The sequence below is a fragment of the Homo sapiens genome, chromosome 5 (assembly GCF_000001405.40).
Source record: "Homo sapiens chromosome 5, GRCh38.p14 Primary Assembly".
NCBI lineage: Eukaryota > Metazoa > Chordata > Mammalia > Primates > Hominidae > Homo > Homo sapiens.
In genome coordinates this window covers 56,334,322-56,357,311 of record NC_000005.10, presented here as the reverse complement: position 1 = coordinate 56,357,311, position 22,990 = coordinate 56,334,322, and the positions used below count along the sequence as shown (strand labels likewise).

The window sequence follows — 22,990 nt, the reverse complement described above, 5'->3', positions numbered from 1 at the left end:
GAAATAGAGCTCCTTGGTCATTTATGTTCAACGAATTATTAATATTCTTAGATTCTACTGTAAAACCATACTCTGGCTGCATGTCCTTTGGGAGGAAGCTTCCTTCCCCAGTTATCCCCACAGAGAGATGACCCACAACATGCTCTTCTGGGAAGGCACCATCCAGTCTGCATTTGGATGTCTAAAAAGAACACCCAAAAGAGAGATGGGTGACCTCTTTTAGCTGCAGGATCTCCATTCAGGTTCTGGGGAAACCAGTCTTCTTTTTTTTTCTTTTTTTCTTTTTTTTTTTTTTGTATGTCATCCCTACCTCTAACCATCTGCTCCAGTTTGATGAGCATCAAACTGTGAATTAGCATGTGACTAGTTAGTGCTTTTCCACAGAAACAGAGAAATCACACTGACCTCCAAGGAGGCTGTGTGAATTTATTCTTGCTTTGTATCTTACTGAAAAGGATCAAAGCATTCTGTAAAATGTTAACACGGCTCAGCGTTTGAGATTTACAACTGTTTACCCAGCACTGTTGCTGCCACTGCTAATACGTCTTGTCACTTGCCCAAGTCTTGCCCTTGTCTTGCTTTCCTCTGACCACATACAATATGGGAACATAAATATGATTTCTCTAATAATGGTTCCTTTGTGTTTATATAATTGCTTTTCACTCAGAGATGCTTAAGTGTATAAACTTGCAAAGCCAGGGGCTCAGTTACACCAGTATCACATTCCTGCTGGCTTCTGGAGCGTAGTATCACAGGCTTGTAAACTCATTGATAACAGAATATATTTTCCACATGTGGCATTGCAGGAGTTAAGTGATTGGTCTGAGACCAGGAAGGTAGTAAAATGTGGCAGAATTCAACCTGTTTCACAACAGGCTCTGTCTGTGAAGTTACCTCTGGATGTCATCCCCTGTTAAGCACTAGATAAAATGGTTGTTGATACTATTAATTGATAACTGACTGGGACTTTCCACTACAAGGAAATGGCAAAACAATAAGCATTCCAATGAGCTGTGTGAGCTGTATTTTCTCCTGAGTCAAATCAACTCCAGGGTTATCCCTTTGAAACAAAGTGCCTTCATCCATTCAATATGCATTTATTAAATGTCTATTTGTCATTCTGCAGGGACTTATATGTGGCAAAACAAAATTACCTCCGTGTAAGAAACCGGTTTTGTCACTGGAAAGAGAAGATATACATACATGTAAATAATAAGTAATAGTTCAGGCAGTACACAATTAAATGCCAGAAGTAATGATTCACTTAATGAGTGTTGTAGGGTTCCCAAGAAAGGGAAATGAATGGGAGCTGAGAAGGTCTGGGAAGATTCATGGAAGAGGGAACTAGGATCTGGGATTTAAAGAATGATCAAGGCCTGCACAGTGGGCTGGGGAACAAGATGGGCATGCTAGCCAGGAAGCGCTACTGTACATGGCATGTCTTTAAAAGAGGTTAACAAATATGGAAAACTTAGGTTGACAAAGGTAAAAGAAACCTGTAAAGCTGAGAATCAAAAGCAAAACCTTTTGCCTTGGTAATAGGAAAAGCTAAAACTGTCAGTGTTTGTCTGGAAACACTGGGGCTCTGAGAGTCCAGACATTTTTCTAAATGCATTTTGGTGTATTTCTACTTTTTCCCAGGTGAGTGATTTGGCCAAACCAAGTGAAGAGCGTTAGTGGTATTTGCTGTCTCTTTGCTGGATTGCATATATTTTAAATTGATTATCCAATTTGAAATTTGTAAAACATTCCCAGAGAGAAGCCTTATTAACGTACTGGAAAACCTTTGATAAAGAGAAGGTAGTGTCTAATGACACTTTTCTTTATCAAAAACTTTATACCTAGAGATGGATAAAAATAAGACAGGTGGTAGAGAGAAGTGCTTCAGGATATTAGATAAGAAAATTGATACTTAACCAACTGAAATAAAGATAACTATACTAGAAAATATTAGAATATACCTCCATGGATCTTGAAGCAGAGAGGAAGAAGGGGAGATGCTGGCTTGCAGTAGGGCCCTGAGAAGATGAGGTGATGAAGGTTTCTCCTGTACCCTACACTACTGGCTCTGAGCCACATCGACATAGAACCTAGAGAACAGAAAGCCCAAAAATTGAACTTCAGAGATACCAGAAAGTTCTCTAAAAGTGTCATCTTCAAAAGAAGCTTGAAAATGGCATGGTAGAATGGAAAAAAACATGCATAGGCTTTGGAACTATTAATACATGACCCTGATTCTTGGCTTAAATACTTACTTCATCTGTGAGCCTCAGTTCCCTCATCTTTAAAATGGGGATAATGTTAGTATGGTTGTTGCAAAGACTGAATATGATCGTGTAAAGCATTTAGTAGAGAATGCTGAGTACTTAACATAGAGTAAGCTTAGTAGATGCTCGCTGCAAGTAATGATGGAGATGGTGATGGTGGTAGAGAGTGTGCCTTACGGTCCTTTTGCAAATCACATTTTGGGGGGTGGGCGTCTGTGTTCGGAAAGCACTGGTTAAGGTCCTCTGGTTTGACTCTGCCATGAGGAACCAGTGAGAAGTGAGATATTTAATGCTAAAATGTCTGATATAATTGCCAAATACATTTATACTTTGGGATGTTTTCTACAATTTCATTTTAGTGGGACTCATGTGTGACTGAGTATGTTCCCAGTGAAACTATATTTTATTCCTTTCCCCACCACACCTACCACATCTCACACACACACATAAACACACACTTAGCCATTCATGAAACAAGAAGCAAATGAAGCAAAATCCACTCATGCTACAGTCCATAAGCACAGCTAGATAGAATGTAAGATGTGGCTTCTTTTCCTATAACTAATCTGACAAGATAACTCATTTCTGTTGCACACCTTTAAAAATTTAACATTTAGCCCTATCTGATTTCGGACCTAGCCTTAACTTGTCATGTAAACCGTGCCTTTGAGTCACAGTTACTCCTGGGCACAAATTCTCAGCCTTCTAGAAGGCTTCCTCCTTCCTTTCCTGTTCCCACCACTCTCCCTCCCCATCTGTTTTTCCCCCTAAAGTGGTGAATGGAAAAGAGGGAGAGGAGAAGGTGGTTGTAGCTTAAGGTTTCCATGACCTCCTGGAGGTGCAGGGGGAGTCCTCTAGCTGCTGGAATCTCTGGCACAGGGATCCTTGCCCACCTGGGGAACTGTGGTGCTGGTGAACTGGTGATCTAGTCTCTCCCTCAGGCTGGCCAGGGCCTGGTGGAGATCCAGAGATGCATGAGTACTACTCTACTCTAGATAGGGTGAAACCTATTACTTACCCTTCCGCCATGAAGCCGTAGCCTTACTGTCCTGAGAAGCATGAGGCTTCTCTACTCTATGGGGAGAACCAATAGGGTCTTCAGTCTTGGTCTTTGGCTTCTTTTTTTTTTCTTTTTTTTTGAGATGGAGTCTCGCTTTGTCACCCAGGCTGGAGTGCAGTGGCGCGATCTCAGCTCACTGCAAGCTCCCAGGTTCACACCATTCTCCTGCCTCAGCCTCCTGAGTAGCTGGGACTACAGGCGCCTGCCACCACGCCCAGCTAATTTTTTTTTTTTGTATCTTTAGTAGAGACGGGGTTTCACCGTGTTAGCCAGGATGGATCACGATCTCCTGACCTCGTGATCCACCCGCCTCGGCCTCCCAAAGTGCTGGGATTACAGGCGTGAGCCACTGCGCCCGGCCGGCCTTTGGTTTCTTGAAGGAGAGATTTAAATTTGTTCTTGAAAATCCTCTCTCAGAACAATAGCCTAATAAATAGGCCCTATATTGAACACAAGAAGCTGAATGTTACCAGGGCTTTTACAATTGACAAATTCTAATTTTTTTTGTCCAACCCCTCCCATCTCCCCACTCCCCCAGCTCCACTCACATACAGACATATATACATACACCGCTTGAGCCTGCCTAAGTCCAAAGGCAGAAGGTAACAAAGTCTGAAAGCAAGAAAATAGCACGTTCATATTTTCCAGTTTTAAATTACACATGAAAGAAAAGTTAACAAGCCTTCTTCAATTAACCAAACCAGCCCCAGTGATATTTCTGAGATGATATGAAAACTTGGTCTACATAGTCATCCAAAATACCTATGTGTTTTCTCTAACATGAAAGCGACATAGGAAATTATGCAAACCACTTGGAAAGAATGTGTTCCTTCTGCAGAATAGTCCCTTTCCTTTCCAGATCTAGCTTTTACTTTTAGGCCCTGTTTACGTTTTAAAATGCCCTCAGTATTAGCAGCACAATAGCCACCAAGACTTATTTTTAGAAAGAACACCACCACCCTGTATTCCAAGACTCTGCTTTACCAAGGGAGCCTTATCTGTTACATTTCATCTGTTCATGTTCTACAATAAACACCTGATTCACAGCCCTTTGGCAATTACTGTTCTAAAGATGACCACATGGAAAATTTGAATTATTAATAAATGATTCTCTGAGATACATAGGCCCCAGCATAAAAAACAATCCAGCCTCAGCCAATTTCTATACACTGAACTCTGTACCCCCGAGATTCAAATATTTAAACCCTACATTCTAATGTGACTGTATTCAGAGATAGGGCTTTTAGAAAGTGATTAAGACGGACTGAAGTTGTAAGAGTAGGTCCTAATCTGATAGGACTGGTGGCCTTATAAGAAGAGGAAGAGAGAGAGAGAAAGGTCTCTACATACATGTATTGAGGAAAGGCCACGTGAGGACATAATGAGAAGGTGGTTGTCTGCAAGCCATGAAGAGAGCCCTCAACAGAAACCAAATTGGCCAGCACCCTGATCTGAGGCTTTTCAGCCTCCAGTGCTGTGAGAAAGTGAGTTTCTGTTGCTTAAGCTACCTAGTCTGTGGTATTTCGTTATGGTAGCCTGAACAGTCTAATACACCAACCAAGATGAATAGCAACACTACTAGGTAAGACAGCTTTGCTCAACGCCACTTTCAAAGGCAGTTTGAACATCTGAGTTACGTTGTGTGTGTGTGCATGCATGCATGTTTGCGTGATGCATGTGTAGAGAAGATATTATATTTTACTCTGAAGTATGCCCCTATATTTGTGAACGAGTTCACAGAAAATAAGCTTTCAATGGTTTCCACATGTTTATTTTAGTTGATTAAAAGTATAGAGCAGTTTCTTGAACAAAGCGGAGGGATATGTCCTAGCCTAGTATCAGATGTTGCTCACAGCTGTCTTACAAATAATCTCTATGAATTTTGAAAACTTTGTGTTAAAAAATAAAGAATACTGTGAATTACTTGTGCATTGATAGCAGACGTTGATAGCAGAGAGAATCACTTACTTATTTAAAAAAGTCGATGGCAGCCGGGTACTGTGGCTTACACCTGTAATCCCAGAACTTTGGCAGACCGAGGCGGGCAGATCACAAGACCAGGAGTTCGAGACCAGCATGGTGAAACCCCGTCCCTACTAAAAATACAAAAAATTAGCTGGGCATGGTGGCATGTTCTTGCAGTCCCAGCTACTCTGGAGGCTGAGGCAGGAGAATTGCTTGAACCTGGCAGGCAGAGGTTGCAGTGAGCCGAGATCACGCTACTGCACTCCAGTCTGGGCGACAGAGTGAGACTCCATCTCAAAAAAAAAAAAAAAAAAAAAAGGAGATAGCAATTGGGACAATTAGAAAGGGAATTCCCCCTTCCTTGTCTTTAGTTTGAAAAAGAAAAAGTAAGCATATATACTGTTGTACATTTACAGGGAACTAATCTCTTTAGCTGCTTTACCTTGAGTAAGCCTCATAACAATCTGAGGAGGAAGATATTTTGCTCCTTTCTAATTGCGTGACCTTGAGCAAGTTCCTTCAGCCCTCAGTGACTCGGCTTCCACACCTATAAAATGCGGACAATAGTACTACCCATATTTTGGTTTGTTGGAAAGATAAAATGAGATAATATATGTAAAATCCATAGATCAATGTCTGGTACAAAGTAGAAGCTCAATGATAGACATGTTGGCATTATCATTGCTGCTATTTTTTTATAATTGTTATTTTATAGATCTGAAAGCTAAGTCTCAGAGCACTCAAGGATCTTGCTGAAGGTTGCACAGCTAATAAGTGACAGATCCATAATTCCACTCCAGATCCATCTGATACCAAAGTTGATGCTTTTAAATCACCCATCCCTTTATCCTGTCTCCCAGCCATCTATACACAGGCACCATGTGATTACAAACACAGCACTGTAAATACTCCTCACTTACTCAAACGAAGAGTCCTTTCTTATTAATGAAGAGCTAGCCCATTTACCCTTTCTGTCTGTGGGTGAGCAGCTTAGATCACTCCCTCGGGGGAGCAATGACTGAGCCATCCTAACCCTCCTTTGTCTCACTTAACAGCCTTCCTTCTCCTCACTGTACCTTCTCAATGTTGATAAATCAAAGAAATGTCAACAAAATGAAAAGACTAAATAAACATTTTCTGTAAGGGTCATATGAGAGGGGAATTTTCTTTTTCATCAAATATTTGATAACATCTTGGACTTTTTGATGTTCCTTTCTCATACTTGGGACTGAATGAAAGTGTATGAGTCATAGACATGACCAAGGGAGGAAAAGCAAATGAGTCACTTGCCCGTTTGGACCTTCCGGCCTGGATGCTCCCTGGGATCAGCATCCCCAGAGGGCTGGTCTGGCCCATCCCACCTGCTGCAGCTGCCGGCTGAATGGGAAAGGGATTTCCTCAGGAGACACTGGGACTCCTGGAAAACAAGTGAGTCAGGAAAAGTGAAAAACATCAGAGCCTCAAGGAGTTGCCCTGTAACTCTTCCAAAAACCATTTTCTGCTATCAGTTTAGAGGTTTCTCATCCACATTTCGTCACTTCCCACTCCTGGATGTACTCCTGCTATAAGCTAATCACTCCTTAAATGCAGACACACACTTCAAAGAGTTGCCATCCATCGTCCTCTCCTCCCCATTAATGCAAGCTACAAGTGCTTGGACTCATGCATCCTTCGACAGATAAATCTCTGTTTCCTTTACTCTTTTTATTGCTCTATTGGAATCTGTCCAGCCTGTATCCTTCTGGTACCAAAGTGCCCCTGGTTGAAGCCCATACTGCTGGACTTAGTCTCTGGGAGTTGAAGGGAGAAGAATTGCAGTGTCCCTCAGCCCACTGTGCTACAGACCTTTTGAAACTTCCTCTCAGTCAGCTGGTCAGTGAATCACATTTAAAACCCAAGCTCACTGTCCACTTCTTTTCAATGGGTCTCTCTCTCAGAGTGTCATTTTTCTATGTTCACCCTGTTTTTCTCAGTGAGGACTTTGGTGCCTGGAAGCCATGAGTTTGAATTCCTACATCCTCTATTATTTTGCTTATAGACCTTGCCAAGTTTGTCGATCCATCTGAGACTCAGTTTCCCCATCTTGGCAAGGAGATAATTCCCATTTCTGGGTGTTGAGTGAGGATTTGGGGCTGGGTAAGACAGCCAAGAGCATTCAGGTGCTCTTCATTCGGCCTCTCTCAACCCGCATGATCCAATGACTTATTTTTCCCCAGGGGCAATCCCCTTACCCCTCACCACCAAAAGTGATTTTGTGACAATTTTCCACTCATTTTTTGTCACAGGAGGTCTCTCTATATTTTTTCCTCCATCTTCGCCAGGATTATAATTCTGCTGATAGCCAATTCTGAATCATCAGCAAATTATGTCAGCAGTTTATTCCCCTCATCCAAATACACAATAAAAATGTAAAACAAAAGTTCTTCTGTAGCTTGTTTCACAAATGTGCTTAAAACTTCTCTCCACAGAATTTATGTCACTTGTATGTATAGTTATGCACTGCATAATGACATTTTGGTCACTGACAGACCGTGACCCCATATAATATGACGGTGACCCCACAGATATGACGGTGACCCCATAAGATAATAACACTGTATTTTTACCTTTTCTATGTTTATATATGTTCAGATACACAAATGCCATTTGGGTACTGTTATGTTTCAATGACCAACAGTTTTCAGTACAGTAAAATGCTGTGCAGGTTTGTAGTCTAGGAGCAATACACAATACCATATAGCTTTGATATTGATGTATAGTAGGCTATACCATCTAGGTTTGTATAAGTACACTGTATGAGGTTCACACAACGACAAAATCGCCTAATGATGCATTTCTTAGAGCGTATCCCCATAGTTAAGCAAGGCATGACTACAAATCCAAACATGTAAACTGAAAAGTGCCAGAAAGGCTGCCATCATGAGCATCAGTAATTTTACCAGAAACATTAAAATACCCTCAGGTGATTTTTATTATTTTTTTTATTTATTTATTTATTTATTTATTTTTGAGATGGAGTCTCGCTCTGTCACCCAGGCTGGAGTGCAGTGGCACGATCTCGGCTCACTACAACCTCCACCTCCCGGGTTCGCGCCATTCTCCTGCCTCAGCCTCCCGAGTAGCTGGGACTACAGGCGCCCACCACCACCCCCAGCTAATTTTTTGTATTTTTAGTAGAGGTGGGGTTTCACCGTGTTAGCCAGGATGGTCTCAGATCTCCTGACCTCGTGATCCACCCGCCTCGACCTCCCAAAGTGCTGGGATTACAGGCATGAACCACTGTGCCCAGCCCTGATTTTTAAAATTAACACTTCAAGCTCTGTTCATTTTTTAAAAAAAGCAAACAAAAAAGATAAAGCTGTCAATATAATGTACTTTCATTTTATAAGTGTTAATTGCCCTTAGGTGTGTTCACATTAATTTTCTTTGCCTTTCTAGGGTGTTAAGAGATATTTTCTTTGCAAATAGTTTGTTAACTGTAAGTTTGATCCTCTATTTCCTTCTTTTTAGAATAGTGTACAAACTTCTAACACCAAATTCTTAGACATTTATAGACAGTATTCTCCAACAAAACAAAACAATTAAATCTGTCATTTAAATTCAGCCAACCATTCCTCCCTCCACCTTCAATATAACTTGATTTTCCAAATTTCAGTTGTGGAACAGTTTCAAATCCAACTAAAAGAACTACAAGGGAATTATATTGGGATGTATTTTTTATTTAAGTTGATTATTTTAATAGCCATGCCAAATCCACCTGACACTGTTCCCCAAATAGCCAGTGGTCAACAACAAAGTAGTAGAGTACGTCTCCATTAACTGTTCTGCTGTCAACCTAAGGATCATCCTGTTTGCTTAAGATCTTTGTCCATAAAAAGGATCTTAAAATTACAAGCCCAGCAAACATTATTAATCCTAGGAAAAAAAAAGAAAAATTTTCACATTCAACAGTATTTCTGATAGATTACCATTTTAGTTCAGAATATAAATTATGACTAAGCATACAATTAGGCTAAAAGTAAAACATCTCAATTCATTCATAATTGGACATTAGCCATTACTTCTACAGAAAAAGAGAGTTTCAGGGTTGGCAAGTGGTTTTCACTATGATCTAAAACATAATCTAACAAATACACACTGAATCAATCCATAGCAGTCAATTGTTGGTATTGACATATTAATGACAAGATCTAGACTATAAAAAAGAATAACGCCTGTAATCCCAGCACTTTGGGAGGCCAAGGGGGGCGGATCACGAGGTCAGGAGATAGAGACCATCCTGGCTAACACGGAGAAACCCTGTCTCTATTAAAAATACCAAAAATCAGCCTGGCGTGGTGGCGGGCGCCTGTAGTCCCAGCTACTCAGGAGGCTGAGGCAGGAGAATCACTTGAATCTGGGAGGCGGAGGTTGCAATGAGCCGAGATCGTGCCACTGCACTCCAGCCTGTTAGACAGAGCAAGACTCTGTCTCAAAAAAAAAAAAAAAAAAGAATAAATCATCATGCAGACCAGAGAATGCAAGTGTAAGCATCTCCAAAGGCCAGGCAAATGAGTGACTGAAACAGGCTTCAGGGTGTAAGGGCCAGGTGAAAGCTTCCCTTCTACCCTCTGAAGGTTTGCTGAAAATGAACTGACAATAAACAGATTAGTAAGAGAAAAGGCATGCTGCTTATTTAACATGCATAGCACATGGAAACCGCAGAATGATTGCTCAATAACCCAGTGAGGTCTAGATGCTTATATGCCCTTCTTCCTAAGGGAAGCAGAGATGGGGTGTAACAATTTTAAGGAGTAGTAAATGATTTTTTGAAGGGCAGTATGGGAGACAGAAATTAACTTGTAAATTATTCTCTTCATAATTTGAATGAGCCAGAGGCGCAGACATTATCTTGTGAAAAAGTCTTTCCAAGTGTGATTGCATTTCTCAATCTTATTTTCTGGATTTTAGGGAGGGGATGGAAGGCAACTGTGTTTCCTTTGGCAAGTCTGGTCTTAAAGTAGATAAGGGAATATCAGAGTAAAGCCTCATCCTGTGCTTTGGGAGAGACATAAGGCTGAGAGACAGGGCAGGGTTGAGGGGGAGGAAGAGGATCATAGAGACCTTGAGGCTATGACTTTTGAAATCACCTTTGCAAAGATTATGACAGTGAGAGAAGTCCAGCATGGTTGGCCCAATCTAGCCTCCCAGGCTGGCTGTCTTCACTCATTCCTGGGCATAGGCCAAGCTAACCATGGGAGAAATTTAGTTGATGGTTTAACTTTGAAGCAAGGATGATAATACTCCCTCTCTTAAACTGCGTCCTCCTTGTTTGGGGGCTGACACTGCCTTTGTAAAACTGATGAAAGGCTACAAGATTACTATTATGGGAGGGGCCCAAATTCTGCTAAAATGTATGCATAGTTTCTATAATCGCTTACTATTCAGGAGTCAGATGGCCAGAGGTCACAAGATTTGTGGCTTTCCCAATTGCTCCTATAGGTCACTATTATAGAACCTAAGATTGGTCTTTTGAGATGTTTTATAGACTGTTGCATTCCGGCAATTGACTGACCCCACCAAGACTCATGACTCATCGTTCAACTGGTCCCATAACCCCTGCACCCACCCAGAGGCAGACTCAATGCACAGGATCATTTTCCACATGCTTATGATTACATCCTCAATCAGTCAGCAGCACCCATTCCCTAGTCGCCTGCCCACCAAATTGACCATAAAAACCCTAATCTCTGAGCCTTTGGGGAGACTGATTCCAGTGATAACTCCAGTTCTCTTGCATGGCCAGTCTTGCATTAATTAAACTGTTTCTTTACTGCAATACCATGGTCTCAGTGAATTGGTTTTGCCTGTGCAGCAAACAGGAAGAACCCATCAGATGAGTACACTTTAGTTCAGCATATCAGAGCACCATATTTCGGGGTATCATTTTCTGAGCCCCAACAAGGGTGAACTGGAGACTGTAGACCTAAGCTAAGGGGCAGCTGCTACTTAATTTCAGCCATTTCATGACAAAAGAAAAGGCAGGCCCACAAGATTTTCTGATTTGTTGAAAGGAACCAAAAATACTAGATTTTCTTTTTATTTTTAAGTGTGAAATCTTCCCATATTAAAGTTTTTGAACAAAATTGACTTTTTAAACCACTTGATGCAGGCCAAAAGGAAACGCATCTGTGGACAACATTTAGCTTGCCTGCTGCTAATATGTGATCTTTAATTTAGATTATATGACAGAGACTGGATGAATACTTATCAAACCTATATCCTGTTCTTTCTGAGCACACAGCTAAATTATATTTCCCAGTCTCTCTTGCAGTTAGGCCAGAAGAATATTGGTGGGAACAATGGACACTGCTGCCAAGCCCAATCCTCCACTCCCTCCCTCTCCCTTCCTCTCTGCCAGCCAGATGCAGGGGAAGTAGGAGGACTCCAGGGTACTGAAAGGTGACAGAACCTCAAGGTGTAAGAAGCCTGAATGACTGTAGAGGAGAACTGCCCTGCCCACCCACCACAGCAGAGACCTGCACTGCCCTGTGATGAGAGAAAGAAAGAAACTTTTTCTAAAGTCCCAAGATTTAGAGGTTATTTGTTACAACTGCTAGCAGAACCTGATTAAGACAGGTTGTTAGGAATTTCTTTTTTTATGTGTCAATAATTATGTTTTTCAGCCCTTTTGATTCTGAAGCAGTGAAACTTCAAAAATAATAATTTTTTTCATGCTGAAGTAGTAGGAAAATAATACTGATAGTATGTTTTATGTCCACTTTGTTTTTTGAGATCGCAAATGGGCATACGTTTCCATATCCAAACTGCTTTCGTTAAGAAGCTTTACTGCTGGAGAAAGGAAGCCTTCCCTGGTAGAAGGCACTCTAACAGCAAAGACAGGGTTAGGTAAAGAGATGTCTGCATCCCACTACCATACCTTGGGCCCTTTTCCCCATCAGTCTATCTTTCATATTTATGGGTCATCTAAAACCCTATTACTTCTTGAATAGCCTGAATGGTCATGTGTTGAGTAGAAATCACAGTGCTTCCTTCCTCTCCCTCTTACACTTTAGTTTTTCTGTCTATACCTTCACTTTTAGATGCTTGAAACTCCTGTTTTTAACATTCATTCAACCCTAACAGAAATATGACTACATTAGAATATTTTAACCATTTTATTTAAAATCATTTCCTCTTTGGGAAATTTGAATAATTTCTAAATCAGGAAGACATGCATGAATAGAAAATAGAAAAAACACTGCAGAATGCAATTTTTATGACCCCCTGTGGTTCATCCTCAGAGTGGAGAATTCTGTTTTCAACAGCAGATACGTCCACTGGAACACAATAAATTTTTCTGAAATAGCAAAACAGGCTTTGTAATCATGATAGACATTTTTCAAATGATTTAATATACAAGTACTTGAATATCAGAAAATAAGATAGAAAAACTCAGGAGTGATGTATACTTACAGTTAGACTGGGCACCAAATGGGATGCTAAGGAGGCTTCGTGGGACAGGAACAGCCTTTTTAACATGGTCACTGTGAGACCCTGGGGAGAGCATCCCATCCAGCTGTGGTCCACAGCATGGAAGAAAATGCAGTACTTGGAGAGAGTTCAGAGGAGTATCATAAATTTGATGAAAGGGGATGATAACCAGATCTCCTTAGAGAAAGAAAATCTGTAAAGTACCTAAGACACAGTTTCCAAGTAGATAAAGGGCTTTGCTTCCTCTCTTTGGAGAGGGGAAAAGATACAGCAACACAACAAGGAAAAGTTGACTCAGTTTCCATTCTTTGGAGACTTGATTAGACAGTGAGCCAGACAGTGCAGGGGAAACATTTCCACAGCATTATTACCATGTCTGAAGAGGATACCTCTAGTGATGTGACCAGACTGTTCTCTGCTCATCACGCTGCCCACCTCGTATTCAGATTATTCTCTACTTCTTCTGGGGATAGGCCCTCTCCCTACACAACTGAGTATTATCAGAAGTAACCTGCCTCCTCACCTATTCAGTGTTAACTCCAAAGTGGGCAGAACTGATAAACTAGGCTTGGAAAGAATTAATGATATTTTTTAAGTGGCAAATAAGTCTTGATTCCTAATTCTATTTTGTTTATCTTCCCAATGGATACTCATCATGACCTTCCAAGGTAGGATTTTACAAGGTAGGCACTATTATTATCCTCATTTTACTGATGAGAAGACTGAGGCAGGGAGAGGTTAACTAACTTGCCCAAAGTTGTAGAGCTAGCCAAGGTAGAACTAAGACTTGAACCCAGGGTGACTGGCTTCAGAACCATTTCACCGTAGCTACCGTATCATACTGACAAAGCTAGGTAATGACTGGGAATGGAAGGTGTCAACCACCACTATGCTTTAAGTAATTTATGCACTAGGCTTGTTGCTCCAAATGGACCTTGAAGTAAGGGCAGACTCTACGATATCTGGGAGTTTGAGTCATGAAAAAGTTTAGTTTTTAAGGCATTGGGTGCCAGTCCTCAGATGGGGCAAAATACTGAGAAATGTCCGGGAAGAGCTACATCAGTTTCTAAGTATTGGAAAACTACCTGGAGATGACACAGATCAGAGAAAAAATATGGGTCAAACAGAAATGGAGTGTCTTGTTAATAATTCTGGCAAAATCAGATCAGAAAGCTGGGTTTTATAAATCAGTCAATCAGGGTTTTATATTTTCCTTGATTACGCTGATTTTTATATTCCATTGCTTTCAGAAGAGGCCCTTTTGCCTCTTCTGAAATATGAAATAAGAAAGTTCATCAATTTACTACTTTGTTTTGAGGCCAGAGGACTTAATTGGGTAGAGGATCTTGGGAGATACGGGAGGTAATACAAACAAGGAAAAGAAAGGGGTTTTGATTTTGCCCACACTTGAGCCCTAGAGGGAAAGCGGAAGCAATGGGGTCATAAATGGTTGTAACAGAGGAGGTCAAAGTGGAAGAACCCCAATGGGAGAGGGACACTCTAGTCAGGGACCTGTTTGGCCCACAAATCATCCTACGAAAGGCTTTGCCCAGAGCACTCATCTGTACCAACCTTCCTTAGAGGGCACCGAGTTTTAGTAAGGCAAGTTGCTCTCTTCCACCTTCACCTGCCTGCAGCCCTTCATCAGAACTGAATTATGTCCCAGGAGCTGTGCAGTGAAGATTTGTCTCCTCTCCTCATACAAACTCAGGAAGGAAATGAGTCTTCTGAGCTGGGACTTTCTCAAAGGTTAGGAGCATGAAGGAGGAGAAACACAGCTTAGAAAAACACCACTGGATGACAGGGCCCTAAGCAGCCCAGCTTAAGTTTAAAAATGACAGTATTAGTTCTCGAAGATTGTTCTTTTTCAAGACTGTCAACTATTCTAGGTTCTTTGCATTTCTGTGCAAATTTAGAATCAGCTTGTCAGTTTCTACACAAAAAAAAAGTCATAAGGATTTTGACTGAGACTATGTTAATGCACAGATCTGGAATTCACAAACTTTTTCATTTAAGAGTCAGATCATAAATATTTTAGGTTTTGAGAGCAAAAGCAGCCGTAGGTAATATGTAAGTTAAGGGAAGGAAATACATTTTAAATAGCTTTTACTCCACAGAAAAAGCAGTGAACAAGATCATGTTTTAGGGTATGGCTGTGTTCCAATAAAACTTTATTTACAAAAGCAGGCAGTGGGCTCCATTTGGTCCATGGGCCATAGGTTTTTGACCTCTGTTATGGACTAATTGGCATATTTACAATATTGAATCTTCTAATCCATAAATATAATATATCCCTCTATTGATTTAGGTCTTTTTTTATTTTGACTGAACAATATTTTATTGTTTTCAGTATACAAGTATTGTACACTTTTGTTAAATATATACTTTTTTATGTTCTTGTAAATGGGCTCGAATTGACTTTTTATCAGTGAGGTCTATTTCAGGGAGTATAGGACTTATAATTTATTCTCTATTATCAAGGATACAACTAATATTTTGTTACTAAATGATGTTCAAAAATAGAACTAGAATAAAATTTAAAAATCAATCTGGACAATCTACCTTTAAAAGCACATTGACTTTTTCCCCTTCAATTTAGTACTTCCAAATAAAGACTTTTCTAAAAAGCAACTCTGAGGAACAGAAAATGTAGAATTAAAATTACAGAGAGTGAGCTCTCCACAAGTAACTTGTAGGTAGGGCAAGAATGGCTCATTTTTTTAAGAATGGCTTACTTAAAAAAAAAAAAACAGGCTTACCATCATAATTATACCTTTCTTAGAACAACCTTAAGTTTTTGGACACCTATTTGCTTCTGGGTGGCCAAGAAATTAGATCTGGGGTTAAAAATGCTACCACTAAAAGTTCTCAAAGTACAAAGCCATCAACAATGAAAGGTGCTGAGTGTGAATGTAAGCACAGAGGTGAAGAGCATGGGCTTTGGTACTCACCCTGCCTCTTCTGCACTCTGAGACCTTGGGCAAGTCGTGCAGGCCTCCTATATCCCAACTTCCTTTGTGTGCATACTGAAAACAGTATCACCTGTTCTTGATACAGAAGCTGGAGAAGAAAGAAAGAGAGAAAGAAAGAAAGAGAGAGAGAGACAGAGAGAGAGAGAGAAAGAAAAAGAGACAGAGAGAGAAAGAAAGAGAGAGAGAGAAAGAAAGAAAGAAAGATGGGAAGGAAGGAAGGAAGGAAGGAAGGAAGGAAGGAAGGAAGGTAGGTTACCTATTTCACAAAGTTGTGGTGAGTATTAAATGCGATGTGTATAAAATTCTTCCGACAGCACTAGGACACAGCAAATGTTCAATGAGAGAGACTATTAGAATGTTTCTTTTTTATGAAGATAAAATTGGTGATGATTATGAGTTTTGTTATTAAGCTTATGTATGTAGCAAGTATGTTCTAACTTCCTTCATCATCGATATAAGCAAAAAAAAAAAAAAAAAAAAAAACCCACCAATCTAATAAATGGCTCAGCTTCCAGTAGTCAGCTGGAGAAGGGAGAGTAGAAATGGGAAAAATTGGTGGTGTGGAAACAAATAATAATTCCTCCTCACCAGGCATCAATCTAAGAAAGGAAGGCCCAGAAAAGAATACTAAGGTCCAGCTCTATGACTCTTTCTGTTCTATTACCATTGAAAGAATCTCCCTTAAGGGTTGCTGCTTCTGGTCTTTCAGATCCTAAATACACTATTCTCTGTTTCATGTCAAGGCCCAAAATGAAGACTCTGAGATTTTTCCTAAAAAAATACAGCACAGTGAGCTTCCCATGAGGTAGGATCTCCCCAGGGGGAAGTGGTTCACCTTCCAGTAAGACCAACAATAAGCTGATTGTTAATATCCAGGGTCGAACAAAGACAAGAGGTGAAGTCTGAAAGAGTTAAGGGAAGGAAATACATTTTAAATGGCTTTTACTCCACAGAAAAAGCAGTGAACAAGATCATGTTTTATGTGGATAAATTTGGCCCCTTTTAGTACGAAAAATGGCCTGCCATGCACCATAAACTCTCTTTTGTATCATTACTTTTAAAAATACACCCATTTATCTTTCATTATGTTTTATTATTGCTACATTTTATTATAAACATTAAGAAGAGAGTCATTCTTAGAGGAACAGTCAAGAAAGCAACACTTACTCATGACAGGCAGTGATGAAATGCTGATACAAACTGTGTGTGTGTGTGTGTGTGTGTGGATTTTCACATTTTTCTTTGTCTGCTTTCTCATGTTCTAGGTTAGCAGATTTCCTTACGTTAAATTTCTATTGAGAAGCTTATTGTTTCTTTAGGACTCTTAGAGTTCTTAACTCTCTAAGTCAAGCAGTGTGCTAAGCATTGTGCCTGACACATTTATTTAAATTTTCTTTATCCTTTTGGCTTTCCATCATTCCATCTCATATGCACTCAGATTCAAGTCAACAAAAATTTTGGCAATGGTTACAAAGCACTAGCTCTTTCCATCTGCCACCCAACTTCCAGAGAACCTCAAAAAAATTGATGGTCATCTCTGAGCTCCTTATAGTCCTGCAGGATTCAAAGATGGCACTCCTGAGTGTGCCATGTCTACATGGTCTATGAGTAGCTCCACGTTCTGCTGCTCTCTGCAAGCCCAGTGATGTTTCTTCTGACTCACAGGCTGCTTCACACCTTTCAGAAGTCTCGTACTCTGCTCCAGAAATGTGGGACTTTCCCAGGAAAATCCTGAGAATTGGTTCCTAATCTGTTCCCTGCGAACCCCCACCGTCACCATTGGTAGTTATTTACTGAATGCCTACTGTGTTGTAGACATTGTGCTAAGCACCAAGAACATCATAAGACCTATTTCAGGCTCTCAAGGATACACAGAACAGTGGGGGCACATGTGAAATCAACAATTGTGTGATAAGATTTGTTATGTAGGAGTATGCATCTAAATATGGGTGGAAAGGAGGAGGTTAAAAGAATGGTTCTCAGAGAAGGTGATGTTGAAGAGACAATGTATTGAAAGATTATATAGGAATTAGTTAGCTAGAAGTGGAAGAAGGAAGGAGGATGCTACAGGCAGCGAGATCAGTATGCTCAAAAGTATGGAGTAACCAAACAGTGGGGTTGGTTTGAGGAAATGTAAGAAACTCGGTATGACTGAATGAAGAGGGATTTAAGGAGTGGAGGGAGATGAGGATAACATGTAACATGTTGATTGCATAACTTATGGGAAGTAATCATAGACAACTTTATTTTTCCGTACAAATGACTCTTCCAAATTTATTTAGTGTGGTACTTTTCTCCTGCTCATGAAACACATAAGATCCGAAATCATGATTTCATTGCCTACTCATTTGTAGGCAAGGGATGATCTTAAAGCCCCTCTAAGTTTCTAATCATAATCCCTATTAGGAAATTAAAAAGTCTAGTCCAAGCTACTTTCAAAGGCTTTAAAATTCATTGAAAGGTGGAACTTCTCTGTGCTCATCATGCTAAGGCCTGATTAATAGCCACCTGCCTCTGGCAACATGGGTGTGATTGACTTCAACTCTCTCTGCATCCCCACTTCTCCCCCATTTATTAGTTATGGTTTCTGCCCCAACCAGGATGAAAAAAGATATGGGAGAGAGAATTAAAAGAATAAACCAGTTCTAACTTTGCCAGATAACATTGTATGTTTGCTTCTCAGCATATAGTTAAAGCTGACTCTGTCTTATAGGGCATCTTCATGGGTTATTTGGATGTTTATGTCCCTGGGGATTCCTCCCTATGTTTTCTTAATTCAGACAGATGTAACCCTATTCTTATCATCATTTGCAAATCCTTCCTAAGTCCTCAGACATTCAGCATTTACCTTGAGCTACTTGCCAGGGTCCCTCCAGCCATGTACGTGATCTTACTGGACAGAACCTGAGCCAGGGCCCACTGGCTAGTCCATGGGGCATATTCATACAACCTTTGTTCCCACTCTGTGAGTGCAGGTCCAACCTATCGTCACTGCTTCTGCCCTAACACCACTAGTTAGCTTTCCCTGGGCATGAGGGAGGCATCACCACTCGGAGCTCTGAGAGAGCTCATGAAAAACGTCCTATTATGGGTTGAATCATGTCCCGCCAAAAGATATGCTAAAGTCCTAACCCCGGTACCTCAGAATGTGACTTTATTTAGAAGTAGGATTATTGCAGATTCAATTACTTAAGATGATGTCACACTAAAGTATGGTGGGCTCTTTTTCCAATACGAGTGGTGGAAGAAGGAGGAGATTGAGAAGACGACGATGAAGAACAGACGAAGAAGGAGAAGGAGGAGAAGGAGTAGAAGAAGAAGGAGGAGAAGGAGTAGAAGAGGAAGAAGAAGAAGAAGGAAAAGAAGAACAAGAGGAGGAGGACGAGGAGGGGAGGAGAAAGGAGAAGAAGAGGAGGAGGAAGAAGAAGAGGAAGAAGAAGGAGGAGGAGGAGGAAGAGGAAGAAGACAAGGAGGAGGAAGAAGAAGAAGAAGACAGAAGGAGGAGGAGGAGGACAAAGGGGAGGAAGAGGAGAAGGAGCAGGAGGAGGAGGGGGAGGGGGAGGAGGAACAGAAAGGAGGAGGAGAAGGAGAAGGAGGAGAAGGAGAGAAACAAAGACAAAGGCAGGAAATTGAAGTGATTCATCTACAAGCCAAGGAATACCAAGGACTGCCATCCATCACCAGAAGCTGGGAAACAGACATGGAACAGATTCTTCTTCAGAGCTCTCAAAAAGAACTAGCCCTGCTAGCACTTTCATTTCAGATTTGTAGCACCCAGAAATGTGAGAGAATAAATTTCTGTTGTTTTAAGCCTCCCAACTTGGAGTATTTAGTTACGACAACCCTGGGAAACTAGTACATATTCTCATACCCTTGAGTTGAGAAAAATTGCACACATGCTGTCTCTCTCTCTCTCTCTCTCTGTCCTCTCCTCTCCCTTATTGGCAAGTGGAGCTTAGAGCATAGGAACAACTCTCTCCAAACTGCCCTCTTCACAAAATCCAATCTCTACCTTCCAGCCTTTTTTGATACTTTTAATCAGATTGAAAGGATATACGAATTATAGATCCAGTGGTCTTGAACAGATAAGAATTCAAGCACAGGTTGATTTGGGAGAAGACATCAGTGGGAAAAGAAGAAGTAAAATGAAAGAGAAGACAATAAAGGGTGTGTTATCAGGCCAGCTCCTACTTGGGGTGACTGGAGCTTAATCTCTTAGGGAAGCTCTGGGAAAGAGTGTAAAACATAAATCAGAGTTATCTCAACCCATCTGAGGGTGAGGGAACTGAGGTATTTATACATCAACTCTTTCTGTCATTGGTTGAGAGCTGCTACCTTGGGGAGTGGGATAGAACCATTGGTGTGCTGGTAAATGTTTAACAACCATAACAGGGCACTTTTCATGAGGCCTCTCAGATAATCTGTACCTGAGGGGCACCCTCTGGCACTTTTGTCGTGGGAGCAGAGTAGCCTTCTGCAAGGGTATGTAGATACTGGTGAGGGCTAGAGCCAGTGGTGTGCTGGTAAATATTTAACAAACAGCTTTCTGGCTGGGGAGGTGGGGGAAGACTATCAATATATTTTTAAGAAATTAAAAATATATTAAAAGTATTTATACAAAAGTTTATTATATTTTCTAATATAAAGGTTCTGTATCACATAATTTATAAATAATAATAAGATATATAAAGCTCTTTATTATAAATTGGATAAAGCCAATTGATGTTCACAGAATACTTCCATTGCTTTTTTGCTGAGTTCTTGTTTCTGTAGCCAACCAATGATGAATGCGTATAGTTTTGATAGGAATGTTGGTTGATATTTTTATTATGTTAACAAAGTGAAACTGTGAAGATGTGTTGTGGGCATTCATTAGGGAATGATGTCTTTGCTGAATTAGATAATACTTATGGAATAACTATGGAAGAATTTTCCTCAAAGTTTTTGTGCTATTCACAATGTAATAGCTACAGACATACTTTGATTTTAATCTGCCTTACTAAATAATGATAAGGTTCAGTGCTGTAAGCCTGTAAATTTTCCAAAAATTAACCTGTAAGTTCAATGCAATTCTGATGAAAGAAGCAGGAGAATATATAATGAAACTAAACAATTCTAAAATTCATTTGGAAGTTTAAATGTTCAAGAATAGACAAAACAACGTTCAAAAAAGAGAACACTAAGAAGGAGGCTAGTCCTGACATATAAATCTAAATCATTGAGACAGTCTGGCACTGACATAGGCATATGGATCAGTAGATTAGAAAACTAAATAGAGACGCATAAAGCACAAGTTATGTGATTTGTATGTGATCCAGGTGGCATTACAAACCAGTGAGAAAATGGTACAAGTGACTGTCATATAGAAAAAAAGTGAAGTTATGTTCCTACTTCATAATATTCTAAAAAATAAGTTTTATATGGTTTGGATTTGGTCCCTGTGCAAATCTCATGTCAAATTGTAATCCCTAATCTTGAAGGAGGGGCCAAGTGGGAGGTGACCGGGTCATGGGGGTGGATTTCCCTCTTGCTGTTCTTCTGATAGTGAGTGAGTTCTCATGAGATCTGGTTGTTTAAAAGTGTGTAGCACCTTTCTCTCCTCTTCCTCCTGTTCCAGCCATGTAAGATGTGCCTGCTTCCCCTTCACCTTCTGCCATGATTGAAAGTTTCCTGAGGCCTCCCCAGCTACGCTTCGTATACAGCCTGCAGAACCGTGAGCCAACTAAACCTCTTTTCTTTATAAATAAACCAGTCTGAGGTACCTCTTTATAGCAATGTAAGAACAAACTAATACAGAAAATTGGTACCTAGGAATGGGGCATTGCTATAGATACCAGAAAATGTGGAAGCAGCTTTGGAACTGGGTAACAGGCAGAGAGGTTGGGACAGTTTGGGGGGGCTCAGAAGAAGACAGGGAGAGGAAGGAAAGTTTGGAACTTCCTAGAGACTTGCTGAATGGTTTTTACCAAAATGCTGATAGTAATATGGACAGAGATGGCCAGGCTGAGGAGGACTCAGGTGGAGATGATGAACTTATTGGGAACTGGAGAAAGGGTAACTTTTGTTATGTGTTAGCAAAGAACTGGGCAGCATTGTGCCCCTGCTCTAGAGATCTGTGGGAAAGCCTGGATGTTCAGGCAGAAGTCTGCTACAGAGGTGGGGCCCTCAAGGAGAACCTCTACTAGGCCAGTGCAGAGGGAAAATGTGGGGTTGGAGCCCACACACAGAGTCCCCACTGAGGCACTGCCCACTGGAGTTGTGAGAAGAGGGCCACTGTCCTCCAGACTCTAGAATGGTAGATCCACTGATAGCTTGTGCTGTGCATCTGGAAAAGCCACAGGCACACAACACCAACCTTTGAGAGCAGCTATGGGGGCCAAGCCCTGCAGAGCCACAGAGGCAGAGCTGCCCAAGTCTGTGGGAGCCCACTCCTTGCATCAGTATGGCCTGGGTGTGAGGCACAGAGTCAAAGGAGATTGATTTAGAACTTTAAGATTTAATGACTGCCCTGCTGGGCTTCAGACTTGTATGGGGCCTGCAGCCCCTTTCCTTTGGCCAATTTCTCCCATTTGGGATGAAAGGATTTACCCAATTCCTATACCCCTATTGCATCTTGGAAGTAACTAACTTGTTTTTTTATTTTACAGGCTCATAGGCAGAAGGGACTTGCCTTGTCTCAGATGAGACTTTGTTTTCGTTTTTGTTTGCTTTTTTGGTTTTCTTTTGAGAAGGAGTCTCACTCTGTCACCTAGGCTGGAGTGCAGTGGCATGATCTCAGCTCACTGCAACCTCCATCTCCTGGGTTCAAGCAATTCTCCCTGCCTCAGCCTCCTGAGTAGCTGGGATTACAGGTGCCCACCATCATGCCTGTCTAATTTTTATATTTTTAGTAGAGACGAGGTTTTGCCATGTTGGCCAGGGTGGTCTTGAACTCCTGACCTTAGGTGATCTGCCCACATCGGCCTCCCATAGTGCTGGGATTACAGGTTTTAGCCACCATGCCCAACCTCAGATGGACTTTTGAGTTAATGCTGAAATGAGTTAAGACCTGGGGAACTGTTGAGAAGGGATTATTGTATTTTGCAATGTGAGTAGAACATGAGATTTGGGAGGGGCCAGGGGTAGAATAATATGGTTTGGATTTGTGTCCCCATCCAAATCCCATGTCAAATTGTAATCCCCAATCTTGGAGGAGGGGCCTGCTGTGAAGTAATTGGATTTTGGGGTCAGATTTTCTCCTTGCTGTTCTCATG

General features: G+C 40.9%; 1 long non-coding RNA gene across 1 annotated transcript in view, besides 1 other annotated feature; it reads right to left on the bottom strand.

Moving 5' to 3' along the window:
- Positions 5,897-7,096: an enhancer, noted in NCBI's record as "CDK7 strongly-dependent group 2 enhancer chr5:55646043-55647242 (GRCh37/hg19 assembly coordinates)". NCBI's record gives its function as "activates an origin of replication core promoter dependent on BRD2, BRD4, P300/CBP, MED14 and CDK7 cofactors, with strong dependence on CDK7, by STARR-seq in HCT116 cells {active_cell/tissue: HCT116}" and the evidence as "EXISTENCE:reporter gene assay evidence [ECO:0000049][PMID:35650434]".
- The window catches only part of LOC105378977 (uncharacterized), a 54,627-nt gene continuing 37,886 nt past the window's right edge, over positions 6,250-22,990 (bottom strand). Inside the window, exon 3 of the long non-coding RNA XR_948342.3 lies at positions 6,250-6,709. This is a non-coding gene — a long non-coding RNA (uncharacterized LOC105378977). The remainder of the gene's footprint in view (positions 6,710-22,990) is intronic.